This window comes from Homo sapiens, chromosome 12 (genome assembly GCF_000001405.40).
Source record: "Homo sapiens chromosome 12, GRCh38.p14 Primary Assembly".
NCBI classification, from domain to species: Eukaryota; Metazoa; Chordata; class Mammalia; order Primates; family Hominidae; genus Homo; species Homo sapiens.
Window position 1 is genome coordinate 10,339,272 of NC_000012.12, and position 22,794 is coordinate 10,362,065.

Consider the following 22,794-nt stretch of genomic DNA (forward strand, 5'->3'; position numbering starts at 1 on the left):
TGGCTTGAGTAGAGGTTAGTGGTGGCCCAAGGCAGAGCAGCTTTTTTTTTTCATGGTTTGGCCCCTTCCTTCTTTTTTTTTTTTTTTTGACACCCAGGCTGCTTGCTTGCTTGCTCTGCTACCCAGGCTGGAGTGCAGTGGCACGATCTCAGCTCACTGCAACCTCCGACCTCGGGTTCAAGAGATTCTCAAGCCTCAGCCTCCTGAGTAGGTGGGATTACAGGCAAGTGCCATCATGGCCACCTAATTTTTGTATTTTTATTAGAGATGGGGTTTTATCATGTTGGCCAGGCTCTTGATCTCAAGTGATCCACCCGCCTTGGCTTCCCAAAGTGCTGGAATTACAAGCATGAGCCACCACGCCCGGCCAGCTTGGCCCCTTCCTATTAGTCATACTTAACAGAGGCCTTTCTGATTTCTCTCTTTTTCTCGATACTTCCTCCCTGACCCTTGCCTGCATTCCTGGGAATTTATTTCTAGTCTTTGGGAAGGGGAAGACCACTTTTATATACAAGATTTTCTTTAAAAAAATCCTTTTTGTTTGTGGCATGATATTTCTCTGAGTAGAGACCTTTTTCTTTTTTCTTTTTCTTTTATGCTTTTACTATGAAATTAGAAAATTAACATGGAATAATCTAGCTGAGTGAACAGCAATGTATTGGAAGCATAGAGGCATAAGGAAAACACACACAAATAAGTGTAAGTTTATTCTTCCAAAATAAAATCCTGCTACATCTACATGCTCCTAAATAGTATACCATTTCTGCCATTTTTAAATTTATGGAACTGCTTTTTATTCTAATTAGAGCTTAGAAGTCAATTCATACACATCAGGACTATCAACTCTTCCCCTCTTACGAATTTCCTCATTTTTTAAACTTGAGAGATAACACAAATAAAGTGCACAAATTATAAGTACTTGATGAATTTTTTATTCATGCATACACCCATACAGTTATTAACCAGTTTGAGATACAGACTGTTCCTAGAACCAACAAAGCCTCCTTCATGCCTCGTGTCTATTAATAATTATTCTTTTAGCCTTAAGAAAACCACTATTCTGATGTCTAACTTTGTAAATCATTTTTGCCTCTTTGTGGACATCATGTAAGTGAAATAATGAAGTACATATTCTTTGCATCTGCATCCTTTCTCTCAGCTTAAAGTCTGTGATACTTTTTTAAATTTTATTTTAAAGTCAGGGGTACATGTGCAGAATGTGCATGTTTGCTACAGAGGCAAACATGTGCCATGGTGGTTTGCTGCACAGATCATCCCATCACCTAGGTATCAAGGCCAGAATCCCTTAGACATTTTCCCTGATACTCTCCCTCCTCCCCACCCACCCTCTGACAGGCCCCAAGGTATGTTGTTCCCCACAATGTGTCCATGTGTTCTCATCATTCAGCTCCGTCTTATAAGTGAGACCATGCGGTGTTTTGTTTTCTGTTCCTGCATTAGTTTGCCGAGGATAATGGCCTCCAGCTCCATCATGTCCCTGCGAAGGACACGATCTTGTTTCTTTTTATGGCTGCATTGTATTCCATGGTATATATGTACCACATTTTCTTTATCCAGTCTCTCACTGATGGGCATTTAGGTTGATTCCATATGTCTGTTATTGTGAATAGTATTTCAGTGAACTTACATGTGCATGTATCTTCATAATGGAATGATTTACATTCCTTTGGATATATACCCAGTAATGGGATTTCTGGGTCAAATGGTATTTCTGCCTCTAGGTCTTTGAGGAGTCACTACACTGTTTTCCACAATGGTTGAACTAATTTACATTCCCATCAACAGTGTAAAAGCGTTTCTTTTTCTCCACAACTTTGCCAGCATCTGTTGTTTTTTTGACTTTTTAACAATAGCCATTCTGACTGGTGTGAGATAATATCTTGTGGTTTTGCTTTGCATTCTTCTAATGATCAGTGATGTTGAGCTTTTTTTCATATGTTTGTTGGCCGCATGTAAGTCTTCTTTTGAGAAATGTCTGTTCATATCATTTTCCCACTTTTTAATGGGGTTGTTTCTTTCCTGTAAATTTGTTTAAGTTCTGTGTAGATGCTGGACATTAGACGATGGTCAGATAGTTGGATTGCAAAACTATTCTCCCATTCCATAGGTTATCTGTTCACTCTGATAATAGTTTCCTTTGCTGTGCAGAAGCTCTTTAGTTTAATCAGGTTTGTCAATTTTTTGTGTCAATTTTTGGTTTTGTCACAATTGCTTTTGACATCTTCATCATGAAGTCTTTGCTCATGCCTATGTGTGATACTTTTTATTACCAGTAGAATTCCATTATATGAATATACAACAATTTGCTTCTATTGTTCTACTCGTGATGGCCACTTTAGTTATTACCTATTTTTTAATATTATGAATAAAACTTCTCTAAACATTTTTATTTTTCTTGTACATGTACGCTTTTAGTGGATATGTATCCTCATTTCCCTTACATGCATATTGAAAAAATAAATTTCTAAGTCATAGTGGAGGCATGTATTTAGATCTAGAAGGTAATCCCAAACAGTTTTCCAAAGTGCTGGGAAAAATGTATAATTTTACCAGTGGTTTTATATGACTCTCTGTTGCAGAAACCAGCCAAATTGTCCCACAGAACTGATGTTTATTGTTTCTTTTAAACAAACATAGAAATTGACCCTCTCAGTCTTAAAACTTGAGAAACCTACATTTGTCTAATCTGAGTTTCCTTCCTAGGAAACCAACCATCAGACCTCCCAGAAAGTATCAAGGAACTGAAACTTACCAGATCACCACATCTGGACTATGAGAGCCAGACACCTAACCCATCATAGTTGCCTAACCAACCACCTGCTTCCTGTTGACCAACTCCTCTTCCTTACCCCTCCCTAATTCCTATTTTCCCACATACAGTTACATTTTTTTTTTCCTGCTACATAAACCTCTAATTTTAGTCAATTGAGGAGATGAATTTGAGACTGACTTCCCATCTCCTCAGCTGCGGCACCCAAATAAACCCTTCTTCTCTGGCAACACTTGTCTCAGTGGTTTGCTTTCTGTGCAGTAAGCAATGGCTGTTTCAGTAACATTGCCTGCTTCCTTGCCAACACTTCTATTGTTGATCTTTTTTTTTTTTAAGCTTCACATATTTTGGGCCATATTATACATTGGCATATAATTGTAGCTTAAATCTGAATTCTCTTATGATTAATGGCACCTATAACTTTTTGGTCATTTGGATGTCCTCTTCTGTATAATGTCTGTTAAGCCTTTGGCTACCATTTATTAATTATATATATTTGCATACATATAATATACATATATTTTCTAAGTTTTTTGCGTGTGTAAATTACCTTGTATTTTGCATACATACACACAGACTGGATTTTATATTGAAATTGTATGGAAGCTATATTTCTAGATTCTACATGTATTAGAAGAGAACAAACACCTTAACCGTGCTGAATCTTCCAATCCATGAACAAAAATTATCTGTCTATTTATTTAGGTTGCCTTTACTTTTTTTTTTTTTTTTTTTTTGAGACGGGGTCTCGCTCTGTTGCCTGGGCTGGAGTGCAGTGGCATGATCTCCGCTCACTGCAAGCTCTGCCTTCCAGGTTCACGCCATTCTCCTGCCTCAGCCTCCCGAGTAGCTGGGACTACAGGCGCCCGCCACCACGCCTGGCTAATTTTTTGTATTTTTTTAGTAGAGACGGGGTTTCACCGTGTTAGCCAGGATGGTCTTGATCTCCTGACCTCGTGATCCGCCTGGCTTGGCCTCTCAAAGTGCTGGGATTACAAGCGTGAGCCACCGCGCCTGGCCTGCCTTTACTTTTTCACAGAAAAACTTCACCAATTTTAGCAATAATGTCTGACAAAATTCTTGTTAGATTTTTTTCTTAGGTATTTAATAGTTTATGGTGTTATAGAATATGGTCTTATTTATCTACTTTCATTTTCTAATATTTTGTGGCTGGTGAATTGAAAGCGTTTGCTCTTTTTTTTTTTTCAGCTTTATTGAGGTATAATTGATACATACCCTAAAGGGCACATGTTTAAAGGTACATGTGTTTCGACATATGTGTTGTATTTATGAAATGACCGTTAAGATAATAAACTTGTCCATCATGCCCCAAATTTCTTTGTGTCTTTTGCTTTCTTTGGATTATTGTCCCATATAGGTTCAGTTTCAAAACCTTCGTTATGCCGCTCAGGGTCCACTCTGCTCATGAGTCACTCAGTCATGAATGTGGGACTTAGATAGTGGTACAAATCATAGTTCAGTTCCCAAATCCTTTGCCACGCTATCTTGGCTTTGTACTATACTTGTGTAATTAATAGGTGAACCCTGTACTTGTGTCAACTCATATACAAAATTAAGCTATCCTCTTCTCCAACTTTGTCCTCTCTGAAATTTCCCATATTTTCTCAGCTCCAGAAATCCTTTTTCCTGATTTGTCTGAGAAGGAAAATATGTTTCTCTCAGAGTTTTAGCTGCTCATGCACTGATATCTTTTTTTCTTTCCTTCTGGATGTTCAGTGAACAAAAGTTTGGCTTATTGATAGCCTTCTGAGTCTATTCACATTTTATTATTTTTTATTTTGTTATTTTAAAAGTTTTACTGACAAATAATTTTATGCATTTATGGCGTAAAATGTGATATATTGATATATGCATACATTGTAGAAGGATTAAATCAAAGTCATTAACATAGCCATCAACTCACCTACTTATTTTTTGTGATAAAATATTTAAAATTTACTTTTTTAGCAATTTCAAAATATACAATATATTATTATTAGTTATCATCACTATGCTATGGAATAGATTACTAAAACTTATTCCTTCTGTCTAACTAACACTTTGTACCCTCTGACCAATGTCTCCCTTTTCTTCATTACCCCCCTGTACCTTCAGCCTCTGATAACCACCATTATTCTTGCTGCTTCCATGAGCTCAACTTTTTTAGATTCCAAATATAAATGAGATCATGCAGTATTTTTCCTTATGTGCCTGGGTTCTTTTAGTTAGCATAATGTCCTCCACATGTTTCTATGTTGTCACGAATGACAGAAGTTCCTTCTTTTTAAAGGCTGTATAGTATTTCTTTTTTTTGTACATTTTTTATTTTTTATTTTTTATTTTTTTTTCTTAGTTTTTATTACTATTACTATTATTATTATTATTATTATTATTATACTTTAAATTTTAGGGTACATGTGCACAATGTGCAGGTTAGTTACATATGTGTACACGTGACATGCTGGTGCGCTGCACCCACTAACTCATCACCTAGCATTAGGTATATCTCCCAATGCTATCCCTCCCCACTCCCCGCACCACACAACAGTCCCCAGAGTGTGATGTTCCCCTTCCTGTGTCCATGTGTTCTCATTGTTCAATTCCCACCTATGAGTGAGAATATGCAGTGTTTGGTTTTTTGTTCTTGCGATAGTTTACTGAGAATGATGATTTCCAATTTCATCCATGTCCCTACAAAGGACATGAACTCATCATTTTTTATGGCTGCATAGTATTCCATGGTGTATATGTGCCACATTTTCTTAATCCAGTCTATCATTGTTGGACATTTGGGTTGGTTCCAAGTCTTTGCTATTGTGAATAGTGCTGCAATAAACATACGTGTGCATGTGTCTTTATAGCAGCATGATTTATAGTCCTTTGGATATATACCCAGTAATGGGATGGCTGGGTCAAATGGTATTTCCAGTTCTAGATCCCTGAGGCATTGCCACACTGACTTCCACAATGGTTGAACTAGTTTACAGTCCCACCAACAGTGTAAAAGTGTTCCTATTTCTCCACATCCTCTCCAGCACCTGTTGTTTCCTGACTTTTTAATGATTGCCATTCTAACTGGTGTGAGATGGTATCTCATTGTGGTTTTGACTTGCATTTCTCTGATGGCCAGTGATGGTGAGCATTTTTTCATATGTTTTTTGGCTGCATAAATGTCTTCTTTTGAGAAGTGTCTGTTCATGTCCTTTGCCCACTTTTTGATGGGGTTGTTTTTTTCTTGTAAATTTGTTTGAGTTCATTGTAGATTCTGGATATTAGCCCTTTGTCAGATGAGCAGGTTGTGAAAATTTTCTCCCATTTTGTAGGTTGCCTGTTCACTCTGATGGTAGTTTCTTTTGCTGTGCAGAAGCTCTTGAGTTTAATTAGATCCCATTTGTCAATTTTGGCTTTTGTTGCCATTGCTTTTGGTGTTTTAGACATGAAGTCCTTGCCCATGCCTATGTCCTGAATGGTAATGCCTAGGTTTTCTACTAGGGTTTTTATGGCTTTAGGTCTAACGTTTAAGTCTTTAATCCGTCTTGAATTGATTTCTGTATAAGGTGTAAGGAAGGGATCCAGTTTCAGCTTTCTACATATGGCTAGCCACTTTTCCCAGCACCATTTATTAAATAGGGAATCCTTTCCCCATTGCTTGTTTTTCTCAGGTTTGTCAAAGATCAGATAGTTGTAGATATGTGGTGTTATTTCTGAGGGCTCTGTTCTGTTCCATTGATCTATATCTCTGTTTTGGTACCAGTACCATGCTGTTTTGGTTACTGTAGCCTTGTAGTATAGTTTGAAGTCAGGTAGCGTGATGCCTCCAGCTTTGTTCTTTTGGCTTAGGATTGACTTGGCGATGCGGGCTCTTTTTTGGTTCCATATGAACTTTAAAGTAGTTTTTTCCAATTCTGTGAAGAAAGTCATTGGTAGCTTGATGGGGATGGCATTGAATCTGTAAATTACCTTGGGCAGTATGGCCATTTTCACGATATTGATTCTTCCTACCCATGAGCATGGAATGTTCTTCCATTTGTTTGTATCCTCTTTTATTTCCTTGAGCAGTGGTTTGTAGTTCTCCTTGAAGAGGTCCTTCACATCCCTTGTAAGTTGGATTCCTAGGTATTTCATTCTCTTTGAAGCAATTGTGAATGGGAGTTCACTCATGATTTGGCTCTCTGTTTGTCTGTTGCTGGTGTATAAGAATGCTTGTGATTTTTGTACATTGATTTTGTATCCTGAGACTTTGCTGAAGTTGCTTATCAGCTTAAGGAGATTTTGGGCTGAGACAATGGGGTTTTCTAGATATACAATCATGTCATCTGCAAAGAGGGACAATTTGACTTCCTCTTTTCCTAATTGAATACCCTTTATTTCCTTCTCCTGCCTAATTGCCCTGGCCAGAACTTCCAACACTATGTTGAATAGGAGTGGTGAGAGAGGGCATCCCTGTCTTGTGCCAGTTTTCAAAGGGAATGCTTCCAGTTTTTGTCCATTCAGCATGATATTGGCTGTGGGTTTGTCATAAATAGCTCTTATTATTTTGAAATACGTCCCATCAATACCTAATTTATTGAGAGTTTTTAGCATTAAGGGTTGTTGAATTTTGTCAAAGGCCTTTTCTGCATTTATTGAGATAATCATGTGGTTTTTGTCTTTGGTTCTGTTTATATGCTGGATTACATTTATTGATTTGCGTATATTGAACCAGCCTTGCATCCCAAGGATGAAGCCCACTTGATCATGGTGGATAAGCTTTTTGATGTGCTGCTGGATTCAGTTTGCCAGTATTTTATTGAGGATTTTTGCATCAGTGTTCATCAAGGATATTGGTCTAAAATTCTCTTTTTTGGTTGTGTCTCTGCCCGGGTTTGGTATCAGGATGTTGCTGGCCTCATAAAATGAGTTAGGGAGGATTCCCTCTTTTTCTGTTGATTGGAATAGTTTCAGAAGGAATGGTACCAGTTCCTCCTTGTACCTCTGGTAGAATTTGGCTGTGAATCCATCTGGTCCTGGACTCTTTTTGGTTGGTAAGCTATTGATTATTGCCACAATTTCAGATCCTGTTATTGGTCTATTCAGAGACTCAACTTCTTCCTGGTTTAGTTTTGGGAAAGTGTATGTGTCAAGGAATTTATCCATTTCTTCTAGATTTTCTAGTTTATTTGCATAGAGGTGTTTGTAGTATTCTCTGATGGTAGTTTGTATTTCTGTGGGATCAGTGGTGATATCCCCTTTATCATTTTTTATTACATCTATTTGATTCTTCTCTCTTTTCTTCTTTATTAGTCTTGCTAGTGGTCTGTCAATTTTGTTGATTTTTTCGAAAAACCAGCTCCTGGATTCATTGATTTTTTTGAATGGTTTTGTCTGTCTCTATGTCCTTCAGTTCTGCTCTGATCTTAGTTACTTCTTGACTTCCGCTAGCTTTTGAATGTGTTTGCTCTTGCTTCTCTAGTTCTTTTAATTGTGATGTCAGGGTGTTGATTTTAGATCTTTCCTGCTTTCTCTTGTGGACATTTAGTGCTATAAATTTCCCTCTACACACTGCTTTGAATGCGTCCCAGAGATTCTGGTATGTTGTGTCTTTGTTCTCGTTGGTTTCAAAGAACATCTTTATTTCTGCCTTCATTTCGTTATGTACCCAGTGGTCATTCAGGAGCAGGTTGTTCAGTTTCCATGTAGTTGAGCAGTTTTGAGTGAGATTCTTAATCCTGAGTTCTAGTTTGATTGCACTGTGGTCTGACAGATAGTTTGTTATAATTTCTGTTCTTTTACATTTGCTGAGGAGAGCTTTACTTCCAAGTATGTGGTCAATTTTGGAATAGGTGTGGTGTGGTGCTGAAAAAAATGTATATTCTGTTGATTTGGGGTGGAGAGTTCTGTAGATGTCTATTAGGTCTGCTTGGTGCAGAGCTGAGTTCAATTCCTGGGTATCCTTGTTGACTTTCTGTCTCGTTGATCTGTCTAATGTTGAGAGTGGGGTGTTAAAGTCTCCCATTATTAATGTGTGGGAGTCTAAGTCTCTTTGTAGGTCACTCAGGACTTGCTTTATGAATCTGGGTGCTCCTGTATTGGGTGCATATATATTTAGGATAGTTAGCTCTTCTTCTTGAATTGATCCCTTTACCATTATTTAATGGCCTTCTTTGTCTCTTTTGATCTTTGTTGGTTTAAAGTCTGTTTTATCAGAGACTAGGATTGCAACCCCTGCCTTTTTTTGTTTTCCATTTGCTTGGTAGATCTTCCTCCATCATTTTATTTTGAGCCTATGTGTGTCTCTGCATGTGAGATGGGTTTCCTGAATACAGCACACTGATGGGTCTTGACTCTTTATCCAATTTGCCAGTCTGTGTCTTTTAATTGGAGCATTTAGTCCATTTATATTTAAATTAATATTGTTATGTGTGAATTTGATCCTGTCATTATGATGTTAGCTGGTTATTTTGCTCATTAGTTGATGCAGTTTCTTCCTAGTCTCGAAGGTCTTTACATTTTGGCATGATTTTGCAGCGGCTAGTACCGGTTGTTCCTTTCCATGTTTAGCACTTCCTTCAGGAGCTCTTTTAGGGCAGGCCTGGTGGTGACAAAATCTCTCAGCATTTGCTTCTCTGTAAAGTATTTTATTTCTCCTTCACTTATGAGGCTTAGTTTGGCTGGATATGAATTTCTGGGTTGAAAATTCTTTTCTTTAAGAATGTCGAATATTGGCCCCCACTCTCTTCTGGCTTGTAGAGTTTCTGCCGAGAGATCCACTGTTAGTCTGATGGGCTTCCCTTTGAGGGTAACCCGACCTTTCTCTCTGGCTGCCCTTAACATTTTTTCCTTCATTTCAACTTTGGTGAATCTGACAATTATGTGTCTTGGAGTTGCTCTTCTCGAGGAGTATCTTTGTGGCGTTCTCTGTATTTCCTGAATCTGAACGTTGGCCTGCCTTGCTAGATTGGGGAAGTTCTCCTGGATAATATCCTGCAGAGTGTTTTCCAACTTGGTTCCATTCTCCCCATCACTTTCAGGTACACCAATCAGACGTAGATTTGGTCTTTTCACATAGTCCCATATTTCTTGGAGGCTTTGCTCATTTCTTTTTATTCGTTTTTCTCTAAACTTCCCTTCTCGCTTCATTTCATTCATCTCATCTTCCATCACTGATACCCTTTCTTCCAGTTGATCACATTGGCTCCTGAGACTTCTGCATTCTTCACGTAGTTATCGAGCCTTGGTTTTCAGCTCCATCAGCTCCTTTAAGCACTTCCCTGTATTGGTTATTCTAGTTATACATTCTTCTAAATTTTTTTTCAAAGTTTTCAACTTCTTTGCCTTTGGTTTGAATGTCCTCCCGTAGCTCGGGGTAATTTGATCGTCTGAAGCCTTCTTCTCTCAGCTTGTCAAAGTCATTCTCCGTCCAGCTTTGTTCCGTTGCTGGTGAGGAACTGCGTTCCTTTGGAGGAGGAGAGGCACTCTGCTTTTTAGAGTTTCCAGTTTTTCTGCTCTGTTTTTTCCCCATCTTTGTGGTTTTATCTACTTTTGGTCTTTCATGATGGTGATGTACAGATGGGTTTTTGGTGTGGATGTCCTTTCTGTTTGTTAGTTTTCCTTCTAACAGACAGGACCCTCAGCTGCCAGTCTGTTGGAGTACCCGGCTGTGTGAGGTGTCAGTCTGCCCCTGCTGGGGGGTGCCTCCCAGTTAGGCTGCTCGGGGGTCAGGGGTCAGGGACCCACTTGAGGAGGCAGTCTGCCCATTCTCAGATCTCCAGCTGCGTGCTGGCAGAACCACTGCTCTCTTCAAAGCTCAGATGGAAATGGAGAAATCACCCGTCTTCTGCATCGCTCACGCTGGGAGCTGTAGACCAGAGCTGTTCCTATTCGGCCATCTTGGCTCCTCCTGCTGTATAGTATTTCTTTCTGTATATATACACCATATTTTCTTTATCCATTCATCTGTTGATGGACACTTAAGCTGATTCCATATCTTGGCTATTGTGATTAATGTTGCAATGAACGTGGAGTTCAGATATCTCTTCAGCATACCAATTTCAACTCTTTTTGATTTATACATTTCAACTCCTTTGGATATATATCCAGATGCCGAACTGCAGGATCATAGGGTAATTGTATTTTTAGCTTTTTGAGGAATCTCTATACTGTTTCTCATAATGGCTGTACTAATGTACATTTCCACTAACAATGTAGTTGAGTTTCCTTTTCTCCACTTCTTTCCCAACACTTCTTATCTACTGAGTTTTTGATAGTAACCATTGTACCAAGTGTGAGGTAACCTCTCATTTTGTTTTGAATTTGCATTTCTCGGATGATTAGAGATTGAGCATTTTTTTCTCACGTACCTGTGGTCCTTCATATGTCATCTTTTCAGAAATGTTCATTTAGGTTCTTTGCCTATTTTTGAATTTAGTTATTTGTTTTCTTGCTAATTAATCGTGCAACTCCTTTATATATTTTGGACATTAGCCCCTTATTAGAGTACATTATGCAAATATTTTCTCCCAATCTGTGGGTTATCTCTTCACTTTGTTAACTGTTTTCTTTGTTGTACAAAACCTTTTTAGTTTGTTGCAATCCCATTTATTTATTTTTCCTTTAGTTACCTGTGGGTTTGGAGTCATATGCAAAAAATTATTGCCCAGATCAATGACATGGAATTTTCCCCTACGTTTTCTCCTAGTAGTTTTATAATTTCAGGTCTTGCATTTTATTCTTTAATCTAATTTGAGTTGATTTTTCAGTATGATGTAAAATAAAGGTCCAACTTTATTTTTTCTGCATGTACAAATTCAGTTTTGCCAACACCATTTATTGAAGAGATTGTTGTTCTTTTGTCATTGTGTATTCTTAGCACCTTTGTCAAAAATCGACTGCCTTAAATGTGTGGGTTTATTTCTAGGCTTTCTATTCAGTCCTGTTGGTCAATGTGTCGTTTATACACTAGTACTATGCTGTTTTGATTACAAAGCTTTATAATAGAGCATGAAATTAAGGAGTGTGACGTTTCCAGCTTTGTTCTGTTTGCTCGAGATTGCTTTGGCTGTTCAGGGTTTTTGTGATTCCATATGAATTTCAGGAATGCTTTTTCTATTCTCATATAAAACAAAATTGGAATTTTAACAGGGATTGCATTAAATCTGTAGATCACTTTAGGTTGCACGGAAATTTTATATTTCTCTCACTCCAAGAACATATGATATCTTTCCATTTACTTGTGTTAGATTAAATTTCTTTCACTGGTGTTTTATAGTTTTCAGTATATAGCTCTTTCACCTCCTTGGATAAACTTACTAAAGTTTTTTTTTCTTTCTTTTTACTTTAAATTCTGGGATATGTGCTGAACGTGCAGGGTTGTTACATAGGCATACATGTGCCATGTTGGTTTGCTGCACCTATTGACCCGTCCTCTAAGGTCCCTCCCCTTGCCTCCCACTGGCCAACAGGCCCTGGTGTGTGTTGATCCCCTCCCTGTGTCCATATGTTCTCATTGTTCAACTCCCACTTATGAGGAGAACATGTGGTGTTTGGTTTTCTCTTCCTGTGTTAGTTTGCTGAGGATGATGGCTTCCAGCTTCATCCATGTCCCTGCAAAGGACATGATTTCATCCCTTTTTATGGCTGCATAGTATTCCACAGTGGTATATGTACCACATTTTCTTTATCCAGTCTATTATTGATGGGCATTGGGTTGGTTCCACGACTTTACTGTTGTAAATAGTGCTGCAATAAACATACGTGTGCCTGTGTGTTTATAGTAGAATGATTTATATTTCTTTGGGTATATACCCAGTAATGGCATTGCCGGGTCAAATGGTATTCCTGGTTCTGGATCCTTGAGGAATCACCATACTGTCTTCCACAATTGTTGAACTAATTTACATTCCCACCAACAGTGTAAAAGTGTTCCTATCTACAGTCTCACCAGCATCTATAGTTTCTTGACTTTTTAATAATCGCCATTCTGACTGGCATGAGATGGTATCTCATTGTGGTTTTGATTTGCATTTTTCTAATGATCAGTGATATTGAGATTTTATTCATATGTTTGTTGGCTGCATAAATGTCTTCTGTTGAGAAGCGTCTGTTAATTTGTTTTGCCCACTTTTTGATGGGGTTGTTTGTTTTTTTCTTGTAAATTTGTTTAAGTTCCTTGTAGATTCTGGATATTAGACCTTTGTCAGATGGGTAGATTGTAAAATTTTTCTCCCATTCTGTAGATTGTCTTTTCACTCTGATGACAGTTTGCTTTGCTGTGTAGAAGCTCTTTAGTTTAATTAGATCCCATTTGTCAATTTTGGCTTTTGTTGCCACTGCTTTTGGCATTTTTGTCATGAAGTCTTTGCCCATGCCTTTGTCGTGAATGATACTGCCTAGGTTTTCTTCTAGGGTTTTTATGGTTTTGGGTTTTACATTTAAGTCTTTAATCCATCTTGAGTTAATTTTTGTATAAGGTGTAAGGAAGGAGTCCAGTTTCAGTTTTCTGCATATGGCTAACAAGTTTTCTGAGCACCATTTACTGAATAGGAGATCCTTTCCCCATTGCTTGTTTTTGTCAGGTTTGTCACAGATCAGATGGTTGTAGATGAGTGGTGTTATTTCAGAGGTCTCTGTTCTGTTCTATCGGTCTGTATGTCTGTTTTGGTACCAGTACCATGCTGTTTTGGTTACTGTAGCCTTGTAGTATAGTTTGAAGTTAGGTAGCATGATACTCCAGCTTTGTTCTTTTTTTTTTGGGATTGTCTTGGTTATACGGGGTCTTCTTTGATTCCATATGAAATTTAAGGTAGTTTTTTTCTAATTCTGTAAAGAAAGACAATGGTAGTTTGATGGGAATAGCATTAAATCTATAAATTACTTTGGGCAGTATGGCCATTTTCATGATATTGATTCTTCCTATCCAGGAGGATGAAATGTTTTTTCATTTGTTTGTGTCCTCTCTTATTTTCTTGGGCAATGGTTTGTAGTTCTCCTTGAAGAGGTCCTTCACATCTCTTCTTAGCTGTATTCTTAGGTATTTTATTTCTTTGTAGCAATTGTGAATGGGAGTTCATTCATGATTTGGCTCTCTGCTTGTCTATTGTTAGTGTAAAGGAGTGTTTGTGATTTTTGCACATTGACTTTGTATCCTGAGACTGTTGAAATTGCTTATCAGCTTAAGGAGTTTTTGGGCTGAGATGATGGGGTTTTCTAAATATACAATCATGTCGTCTGCAAACAGAGACAAGTTGACTTCCTCTCTTCCTATTTGAATACCTTTATTTCTTCCTCTTGCCTGATTGCCCTGGCCAGAATTTCCAATATGTTAAATAGGAGTGGTGAAAGAGGGCACCCTTGTCTTGTGCTGGTTTTCAAAGGGAATGTTTCCAGCTTTTGTTCATTCAATATTATATTGGCTATGGGTTTGTCATAAATAGCTCTTATCATTTTGAGATATGTTCCATCAATGCATAGTTTGAGAGTGTTTTTTTTCTTTTTTTTTTTTAAGGCAAATGACAAATACCTAGTTTACCATCTTTACTTTTTTAAACCTAATGTTAACATTAATATTTAAACAGTTGTCAAAAATTGCTAAGTTGCCAGCATTCATGCACAACTAGAAAACATCCTTAACTTATCTTAAACCAGAAATGTATTGCCATTAATGCATTAATATCTTTTACTACTAAATACTGAAAAAAATTGAAATTATTTCTGTAGATTTGTCCTGGCAATCATTTGGAGAAGAGATACTCCGGCCTTTTGGGTTTTCAGCATTTTTTCATTGACTCTTTTCCATCTTCATGTGTTGTCTAGTTTTGATCTTTGAGGCTGTTGATCCTTGGATGGGGTTTTTGTGGGGATTTTTTTGTTGTTAATGCTGTTATTTTTGCTTTCTGTTTGTTTGCTTTTCTTTTTTTCTTTTTTTTTTATTATACTTTAAGTTCTAGGGTACATGTTCACAACGTGCAGGTTTGTTACATATGTATACATGTGCCATGTTTGTGTGCTGCACCCATTAACTCGTCATTTACATTAGGTATATCTCCTAATGCTATCCTTCCCCCCTCCCCCCACCCCACAATAGGCCCCGGTGTGTGAAACCAAACACCGCATGTTCTCACTCATAGGTGGGAATTGAACAATGTTTGCTTTTCTTTCAATTGTCAGGTCCCTCTTCTGTAGCGCTGCTGGGGTTTGCTGAGGGTTCACTTCAGGCCTTTTTCACCTGGTTCACTCTCCTGCCTGAAGATGTCACTCAAGGAGGCTGGAGAACAGCAAAGATGGATGTCTGCTTTTCCTCCTGGGGTCTCTGATTTTGAGGGACACCAAACTGATGCCAGTAGATTTGGTCCTGCAAAGGGTGTCTGACAATTCCTGTTGGAGGGTCTCCGTTGGGTGGCATGGGGAACAGGAACTATTTAACAAAGCACTTTGACTGTCCCTTGGTGGAGGGAGTGTGCTTCACTGGGGGGTAACCCACTCATCTGGGCTGCCCAGATTCGTCAGAACTAACAGGAGTAAAGGCTAAGTCTGCTGGTCTGCAGAGACTGCAGCCACCCCTCCCCATAGGGACTCAGGCCCAGGGAGATTAGCATTCTGTCCCCTGAACCTCTCACTGGAGTTGTTGAAGTTCCTGCAGGGAGGCCCCGGCCATTGAAGAGGGATGAGTCAGGGTCAGGCCTGAAGGGGCATTCTGGCCACAGTCTGCCACAGCCAGTGTGTTGGGCTGTAGGGAACACTTCTTGGCACCAGGCCATCCAGCCTCCCTGGCTCCAGCAGGGAAAAAGCAGAAAAAAAATGAAAACTCTTCAATAAGCCATTACAAATTCTTTTGAAAAAAAAAATTAGCAAATAAATACAGGTTATAAAAAATAATCAAATGGGTACCAGCAATCACCTCAATTTCTATTTGATGTGCACTTTTCCCATCATGGTATTTTCATTAGTTTGTTGTACATTTTTATTTTATTTTATTTTATTTATTTAGATATTTATTTGAGATGGAGTCTCACTCTGTCACCCAGGCTGGAGTGCAGTGGCACCATCTCAGCTCACTGCAACCTCCACCTCCTTGGTTGCAGTGGCACCATCTCAGCTCACTGCAACCTCCACCTCCTTGGTTCAAGGGATTCTTCTGCCTCAGCCTCCCAAGTAGCTGGAATCACATGCGTGTGCCACCACACCTGGCTAATTTTTCTCTATTTTTAGTAGAGACAGGGTTTTTCCATGTTGGCCAGGCTGGTCTCGAACTCCTGACCTCAGGCGATCTGCCCACCTTGGCCTCCCAAAGTGCTGGGATTACAAGCATGAGCCACTGCTCCTGGCCTGTTGTACATTTTTAATGTTGTTACTTTTTCATTTACTTTCAAATTCAGGAAGCACATTCGTATGTCTTGCCAAAGTTTTATATTCATCAAAATACTTTCAAAGTTTTTTCTCTTACTTTTTGTAAGCAAAGGAATAGGTTTCTATTAACTGTGCAGCTTATGTTTAGGCACTTTTAAAAAAAATTTTGGAACTTTATTTCGTTTTTTCCCCTTGTTTGACAATATCAACCCACACACCTAAATTGCATTAAAATATATGCCAAGAAGCTTTCAATTTTAATATAATGTATTTTTAGTTGATATTGTATCTTGTAATATTTAAGAAACACTTTCACACATTTCGCACATTTGTGTGTGTGAAAAAAGAAATTATAAATTATAAAACTGAAAGACACAAAAACAACAGCAGCAAAACTCACTAGACAGGTTCAATAGGGTAATGAAGATGACAGAGGAAAGAATCAGAGGATATACAGATGGCAAAATAAACTAAAACTGTACTGAGATATCACTACATACTTATCAGAATGGCAAATATAAAAATAGTGACAATATTAAAAGTCAACAAGGACGAGTAGAAACTAGATCACTCATGCATTTCTGGTAGGAATGTAAAATGATACAGCCTCTTTGAAAAATCCTGTGGAAGTTTCCTTAAAAACAAATCATACAACTCCCACATAACTCTGCAGTTGCACTCTTGGATAGTTATTCCAGAGAAATAAAAACTTACAAATACACAAAATGTGGACACAAATTTTCATAGTGGTTTTACTTGTAATAGCCCCAAACTAAAAACAATTCAGAAGTCCTTCAATGAGTTAAACTGTGGTACATAAATACAGTGGAATACTACTCAATTATAAAAGGAACATGCAACAACTTGTATAAATCTCCAGGTATGTTGAAACTAAAAAAGTTTACATTCTATGCAATTCCATTTATATAACATTCTTGAAATGGTAAAATGATAAAAATGGAGAGCAAATTAATGGTTTTCAGGAATCAAGAATGGGGGAGAGGTAGAAGGTGGGTGTGGCTTCCTCTATCATAGGGATCCCTGTGATAATGGAGCTCTTCTGTATTTTGATTGTATCATTATCAATATCTTGGTTGTAATATTGTGTTACAGTTTTACAAGACATCGCCATTGGGGTAAACTGGGACAGGAAACATGGGATCTCTTGGTGTTATTCCTTATGGTAACATGTGAACTTACAATTATACCAAATTAAAAACTTAATTTTAAAAAATGAAGCAAAATAAAAATATTTCCAGGTTAGTAAAAGCTGAATGAATGTGTTGCCAGCAGGTCCACACTGTAAGAAATGCTGAAGGATGTTCTTTTTACTGAGGGAAACAGTATCAGATGGGAAACTGCTTCTACAGGAAAGAATGCAGAAAGGTAGACTGGTAACTGTAAGAGAAATATAATTAGTTTTTCTCAAGTATCCTGTAAGTTAACTGACCTCATAAAACAAAATTAATGGCAATATGTTCGAGCACTTATATGTATTAGTAAATTATTTAACAACAATGACAACAACAAAATAGGTGGCAGTAAATGAAATTAAACTTTTTTTTTTTTTTTTTAATTTCCATAGGTTATTGGGGAACAGGTGGTGTTTGGTTACATGGGTAGTTCTTTAGTGGTGATTTGGTGAGATTTTGGTGCACTCATCACCGAGCAGTATAGACTGCATCCTATTTGTAGTCTTTTATCCCTTACCCACTTCCCACCCTTTTCCCCTGAGTCCCCAAAGTCCATTGTGCCATTCCTATGCCTTTGCATCCTCATAGCTTAGCTCCTACTAATGCGTGAGAACATATGATGCTTGGTTTTCCATTCCTGAGCTACTTCATTTAGAATAATTGTCTCCAATCTCATCCAGGTCACTGCAAATGCCGTTAATTCATTCCCTTCTGTGAGTGAGTGGTATTCCATCATATACATATAATACCACAGGTTCTTTATCCACTCGTTGATTGATGGGCACTTGGGTTGGTTCCACATTTTTGCAATTGTGAATTGTGCTGCTATAAACATGCATATGGAAGTATCTTTTTAAATTTAATTTAATCTTATTTATTATATTTTTACTTTTAAGTTCTGGGATAAATGTGTAGAATGTGCAGGTTTGTTACATAGGTATACATATGCCATGGTGGTTTGCTGCACCTATCAATCCGTCATCTAGGTTTGCTAGAGACCAGTTGTGATCATTTGGAGACGAGGCATTCTGGTTTTTGGAATTTTCAGCATTTTTGCATTGTTTTTTTTCTCATCTTCATGGATTTATCTACCTTTGATCTTTGAGGCTGATGACCTTTGGATGGGGTTTTCATGTGGGGGTCCTTCTTGTTGATGTTGATGTTATTGCTTTCTGTTTGTTAGTTTTTCTTCTAACAGTCAGGCTCCTCTTCTGCAGGCCTGCTGTAGTTGAGGTCCACTCCAGACCCTGTTTGCTTGGATATCACCCATGTAGGCTGCAGAAGAGCAAAGACTGCCACCTGCTCCTTTTTCAGGAAGCTTTGTCCCAGAGGGGCACTGGCCTGATGCCAGCCAGAGCTCTCCTCTATGAGGTGTCTGTCAACCCCTGCTAAGAGCTGTCTCCCAGTCAGGAGGCATATGGGGGTCAGGGACCCACTTGAGGAGGCAGTTTGTCCCTTAGCAGAGCTCGAACACTGTGCTGGGAGATCTGCTCCTCTCTTCAGAACCGGCAGGCAGGAATGTTTAAGTCTGCTCAAGTTGCACCCACAGCTGCCCCTTCCCCCAGGTTCTCTGACCCAGGGAGATGGGAGTTTTATCTATAAGCCCCTGACTGGGGCTGCTGCCTTTTTTTCAGAGATGCCTTGCCCAGTGAGAAGAATCTAGAGAGGCAGACTGGCCACAGATACTTTGCTGCACTGTGGTGAATTCTGCCAAGTTTGAACTTCCTGGCCTCCTTAGCACTGTCAGGGGAAAAATCGCCTACTCAAGCCTCAGTAATGGCAGATGCCCCTCCCACCCACCAAGCTTGATTGTCTCACGTCCACTTCAGACTGCTGCGCTGGCAGTGAGAATTTCAAGCCAGTTGTTGTTTGCTCGCTGGGCTCCAGGAAAGTGGGACCTGCTGAGCGAGACCACTTGGCTCCCTGGCTTTAGCCCCCTTTCCAGGGGAGTGAATGATTCTGCCTCGCTGAGGTTCCAGGCACAACTGGGGAAAACAAACAAACAAACAAACAAACAAAAAAACTCCTGCAGCTAATTTGATGTCTGCCCAAACAGCTGCCCAGTTTTGTGCTTGAAACCCAGGGCCCTGGTTGTGTAGGTGCATGAGGGAATCTCCTAGTCTGTGGATTGCAAAAACTGTAGGAAAAGTGTAGTATCTGGGCCAGGTAGCACAGTCCCTCATGGCTTCCCTTGGCTGGGGGAGAAAGGTACCCCAGGTCCTTGCACTTCCGGGGTGAGGCAACGCCCCACCCTGCTTCTGTTTGCCCTCCATGGGCTGCATTCCCCTGCCTAACCAGTCCCAATTAGATGAACTGGTCACCTCATTTGGAAATGTAGAAATCACCTGCCTTCTGTGTTGCTCTTGATGTGAGCTGCAGACTGGGGCTGTTCCTATTCAGCCATCTTGCCAGATCTCCCCAAAAATGCATTTTTAAGGAATCAGAGATCTATGGAATGACAACCAAATGACTTTAATTCCAGAGCAGGGAGAAAAAATCAACAATCTGCTACTTTTGTTATTTTTCTTTTTCATGGATCAGAGTCTGGCCAAGACAGAGAACCTATGTTTGCAGAAAGTGAAACCAGCAATTTTTGTAGTGGTTATGTGGACTAGGGTGACAATACTGAATATTTGAAGGTTTTTCCTATAGTCTGAATGTTTGTCTCCTCCAAAACTCAGGTTAAAATTTAATTGCAAATATAATGGTATTGGGAGGTGGGGCCTTTAAGGCCCATAAGAATTCCGCCTTTATATGTGAGTGAGTTTAGTGCCTTTAAAAAAATGACTTTGAGGAGTGGGTTCTCTCTCTCCTGGTCTCACCTCCTTCCATTTGATAGTACAGCAAGAAGAACCTCACTAGATGCTGGCCCCTTCTCAGCCTCTAGAATTGTAAGCCAATACATTTATGTTCATTATGAATTATCTGGTCTTTGTATTCTATTAGAGCAGCACAAAACAGACAGTGTTCAAATCTTCACTTTTCCTACAAGCCATTTGCTAATTCTGTGATAAAATTGAGGAATATAAAGCAAGGCAAAAAAAAAAAAATTCTAAAAAAGAAAAAATTAGCAAACTTCCCAAAGCTCCCAAAGTTCTCTGTATTTAAGGGAACAAAGATTAGCCAGAGGGGCTATAAACAAACAAACAAAAAGTAGTCAATAAAATCATCTATCAAAGGATATACACACACACACACACATATATATATACAATTATAGGTATATAACTCAATTTACTGACATATTAGAAATACATTGGTTTGGTCCAGAAAGGTGGGACAATTCAAAGCCAGGGATTAGGAAGGTGGGGGGTGGGGGGGGGTAGTTTCAGGCTATAGGTAAATTTAAACATTTTCTGGTTGACAATTAGTTGAGTTTGTCTAAAGACCTGGGGTCGATAGAAAATAAATATTCAGGTTAAGATAAAAGGATGTGGAGACCAAGGTTCTTTTGAAGTCTTATAGTGGCTGCTCTTAGAGACAATAGAATGATATCCTATTCAGATATTTAAAAGGTGCTAGACTCTTAGTTAATCTCTTTAGGATTGGGAGGGCCTGGAGAAAAAGATCCAGTTATTTTAATAGAGATTCTTTACATATGCAAATTTCTCCCCACAAAGGACAGCTTTGCAGGGCCATTTCAAAATATGGCAAGTAAACATGTTTTGGGGTAAAACATTTGACTTTCTTCTTTGTCACATAATGTTATGCCAGAGTCAGATTGGAAAGTAAGTCATGATATACAGGGTTAAATGAAACCCATGTGATGTTAGTTTATGGTTTGTAGGGCATGACTCCCCAGACTCCTTAGGTATGAATTTGGGCAAGATAAAAAAATCAGAGCCTAATTCTCATGTCATTGAACTTTGAGAGTTCATTTGTAACTAAATTTATTTAGGTGATTTAGTCAGCTGCTAAATGCACAAACTCCAGTGAAACTCAAGCACTGAATATGTAAAAGCAAAATAAATGCAAGCACAGGAGAAAAATAAAGTATATGCTTACCAAGAAAAACAATGGCCTTCTCCAAATGAAGAAAAAAATTTCCTCATTCAAACCTCTAGGTTCAAACTTCATAGACAAGGTCAACAGAGGAAAAGAGTCCTCTTCAACAAGAGATTCAAACAAGGAGGAAAAGATCTTTCCTCACCAAATCCCAAATAAAACAGAAAACAAATCAAAATTGGGAGTTCTAAGACAGACTCTCCAAGCCGGAGAAGAAGTGACCCGTGGAAGTCAGGGTCGGCGGCCCTAAAGAGCCCCAGTGTGGGTACCTCATGCTGTAGTTCCAAGGCCTGGTGAGTCTCCTTAAGGTGAATCACCTTTGGTCCTTCCTTCTGACACCAAGTATTGATATGGCTATGATGACTGGAAGAACACTAGTGTCCTTAATCTTGCACCGAATTAGATAAAACGACTTGGACATACGTGGAGTGGTTTTAAGGAGAGGAGAGTTTAATAAGCAAGAAAGAAGGAAGAAGAAAACAGCTCCCTTGTAGAGACAGAGGGAGGAGGGATTTAAACAAAGAGAAAACCCCATGTGCTGCAGAAAAGTGGCCACTTATATGAGGAGGCTGTAGGAGGTGGTGTTTGATTTGCATAGGGCTAAGGGGATTGGTTTGATCAGGCATGTCACTCATGTAGCCCATGAAAAACTTGGCCCTCTTACCCTAGCCTTTTAATATGCAAATGCAGGGCATCATGATGTTCTATACTCATGGGGATATGTGGGGGCGGCCATGTTACCAGGCACATGTCGGGGCAAGAACAGGAAGAAGAGGGCAGGAATTGCCATGATTGGGTAGACCCAGTTTCTAATTGCTGGCATTCGCACATCAAAGCTTGCCAGGCAGCTCTAAGAGCCAGCGCTTTCCTGCTAGACAAGAAATGTTTCTGGAGCTGCCTTAAAAGAAACAAAAATTGCCCAAGGACCCCTTTTTTTCCCTATCTGCCTAAAAGAATTTCTTAGTAACTCCTATAATAGTATGTCAAAGTAAAAATAAAAATGCAGACACAAATCTCTAAATGTAGTGTTTTATTTGGGAAGAAAGAATTGCAGTTCAGGGCATACACGTGGTCTTCGGTATCTCCAAAGAGCAAAGAGAAGGTTAGAGGTTTTACATATTGCTTTTTGAGAAAGTTCATTGATATTTGTAAGGATTTGGTGAGCTGGCAAGCTCCGATTTTTGCGTGACAACAGTGTGAGCAAACATTAGTTCTAGAGTTGCAGTAAGCTACTTCAGAAGCTACAGATAAAACTGGTTTCTGGTTACAACAGGCAGTTTCAGCAGCCAGGCTTGCAGATAATTACATTCTTGGAGCAATGCTTTGTACCCAGAATGTTTTCCCACTGGATTCTCCACTCTGTTTTATTTAGTTATGAAAAGAATTACTCAATTTTTATAATCAACTTTCACACCTAAATTACCTCCCAAAGGCACCTCCTAATACTATACCATTGGGAGTTAGGATTTCAAATATGAATTT

At 38.9% G+C, this 22,794-nt stretch overlaps 1 long non-coding RNA gene across 2 annotated transcripts, besides 1 other annotated feature; it reads right to left on the reverse strand.

Moving 5' to 3' along the window:
• LINC02598 (long intergenic non-protein coding RNA 2598) lies at positions 17,652 to 21,845 on the reverse strand. Of its 2 annotated transcripts, NR_170218.1 has the most exons (3): positions 21,313 to 21,845; positions 20,130 to 20,190; positions 17,652 to 19,292 (listed from the first exon to the last, which is right to left on the reverse strand). It is a non-coding gene; the product is annotated as a long intergenic non-protein coding RNA 2598 (long non-coding RNA). The 2 variants fall into 2 exon arrangements; NR_170217.1 differs by lacking the exon at positions 20,130 to 20,190.
• Positions 21,596 to 22,196: an enhancer, noted in NCBI's record as "NANOG-H3K27ac hESC enhancer chr12:10513466-10514066 (GRCh37/hg19 assembly coordinates)". NCBI's record gives its function as "activates a minimal SCP1, AML or CMV promoter by ChIP-STARR-seq in primed H9 embryonic stem cells {active_cell/tissue: H9 hESC(primed)}" and the evidence as "EXISTENCE:reporter gene assay evidence [ECO:0000049][PMID:30033119]".